Here is a 2,072-nt window from a genome sequence, read left to right as displayed (position 1 = left end):
AGCCAAGCCAGCCAGCCAGCCAAGCCAGCCAAGCGACCCAGCCAGCCAAGCCACCCAGCCAAGCCAGCCAAGACAGCCAGCCAGCCAGACAAGCCAGCCAGCCAAGACAGCCAAGACAGCCAAGCCACACAGTCAGCCAAGCCACACAGTCAGCCAAGCCAGCCAGCCAGGCAGCCAAGCAAGCCAGCCAAACCAGCCAGGCAGCCAAGCCGGCCAAGCCAGCCAAGCCAGCCAGCCAGGCAAGCCAGCCAAGCCAGCCAAGCCAGCCAGCAAAGCCACCAAAGCGAGCCAAGCCACCCAAGCCGCCAAGCCAGCCAAGCCACATAGCCAGCCAAGCCAGCCAAGCCATCCAAGCCACCCAAGCCACCCAAGCCACGCAGCCGGCCAAGCCAGCCAAGCCACCCAGCCAGACAAACCAGCCAGCCACCCAGCCAGCGAAGCCAGCCAGCCAGCCAAGCCACCCAGGCAGCCCAGCCAGCCAAGCCACAGAGCCACCCAAGCCAGCCAAGCCACCCAGCGAGCCAAGCCATCCAAGCCACCCAGCCAGCCAGCCAGCCAAGCCAGCCAAGCCACCCAGGCAGCCCAGCCAGCCAAGCCACAGAGCCACCCCAGCCAGCCAGCCAGCCAAGCCAGCCAAGCCACACAGCCAACCAAGCCAGCCAAGCCAGCCAGCCAGCCAAGCCTGCCAGCCAACCAAGCCAGCCAAGCCAGCCAAGCCACCCAGCCAAAGCCAGCCAGCCAGCCAAGCCAGCCAAGCCACACAGCCAACCAAGCCAGCCAAGCCAGCCAGCCAGCCAAGCCTGCCAGCCAACCAAGCCAGCCAAGCCAGCCAAGCCACCCAGCCAAAGCCATCCAGCCAGCCATGCCAGCCAGCCAGCCAGGCCATAATTTCATCATTCCACTTCATCATTCCACTTCATCATTTCATTTCATTTCATTTCATCATTTCATTTCATTTCATCCTTTCATTTCATCTCATCATTTCATCCTTTCATTTCATTCTTTCATTTCATCATTTCATCTCATCATTTCATTTCATCATTTCACTTCATCTCATCATTTCATCATTTTATCTCATGGTTTCATTTCATCTCATGATTTCATTTCATCTCATCATTTCATCTTTTCATCTCATCATTTCATTTAATCATTTTATTTCATTTTATCTTTTCATCTCATCATTTCATCATTTCATTTCATCGATTCATTTCATCATTTCATTTCATTATTTCATCATTTCATCATTTCACTTCATCTCATCATTTCATTTCATCATTTTATATCATTTCATTTCATCATTTCATCTTTTCATCATTTCATTTCATTTCATGATTTCACTTCATTTCTTCATTTCATTTCCTCATTTCATTGCACCATTTCATCACTTCATCATTTCATCATTTCATTTCATCATTCCATTTCATCATTTCATCATTTCATTTCATCTCATCATTTCATTTCATCATTTCATTTCCTCATTTCACCATTACATTTCATCTCATCATTTCATTTTATCATTTCATTTCATCATTTCATTTATTCATTTCTTCATTTCGTTTCATCATTTCATCATTTCCTTTCATTTCATCATTTCATTTCATCATTTCATCTCATCATTTCATCTCATCATTTCGTTTCATCATTTCATCTCATCATCATTTCATCTCATCATTTCATCTCATTTCATTTCATTCATTTCATCATTTCATCTCATGATTTCATTTCATCTCATTTCACTTCATCTCATCATTACACCATTTCATCTCATGATTTCATCTAGTCATTTCATTTCATCTCATCATTTCATTTCAACTTTTCATCTCTTCATTTCATTTCACCGTTTCATCTTTTCATCTCGTCATTTCACTTCATTTCATCATTTCATCAATTCATCATTTCATCATTTCATTTATTTCATCATTTCGTCATTTCACTTCATTTCATCATTTCATATAATTTCATCATTTCATTTTATCATTTCTTTTAATTTCATTTCATCATTTCACTTTATTTCATCATTTCATATCATTTCATTTCATCATTTCATCTTTTCATGTCATTTCATCATTTCA

Source organism: Homo sapiens, chromosome 16 (assembly GCF_000001405.40).
Source record: "Homo sapiens chromosome 16, GRCh38.p14 Primary Assembly".
NCBI lineage: Eukaryota > Metazoa > Chordata > Mammalia > Primates > Hominidae > Homo > Homo sapiens.
This window is presented reverse-complemented; position numbering follows the sequence as displayed.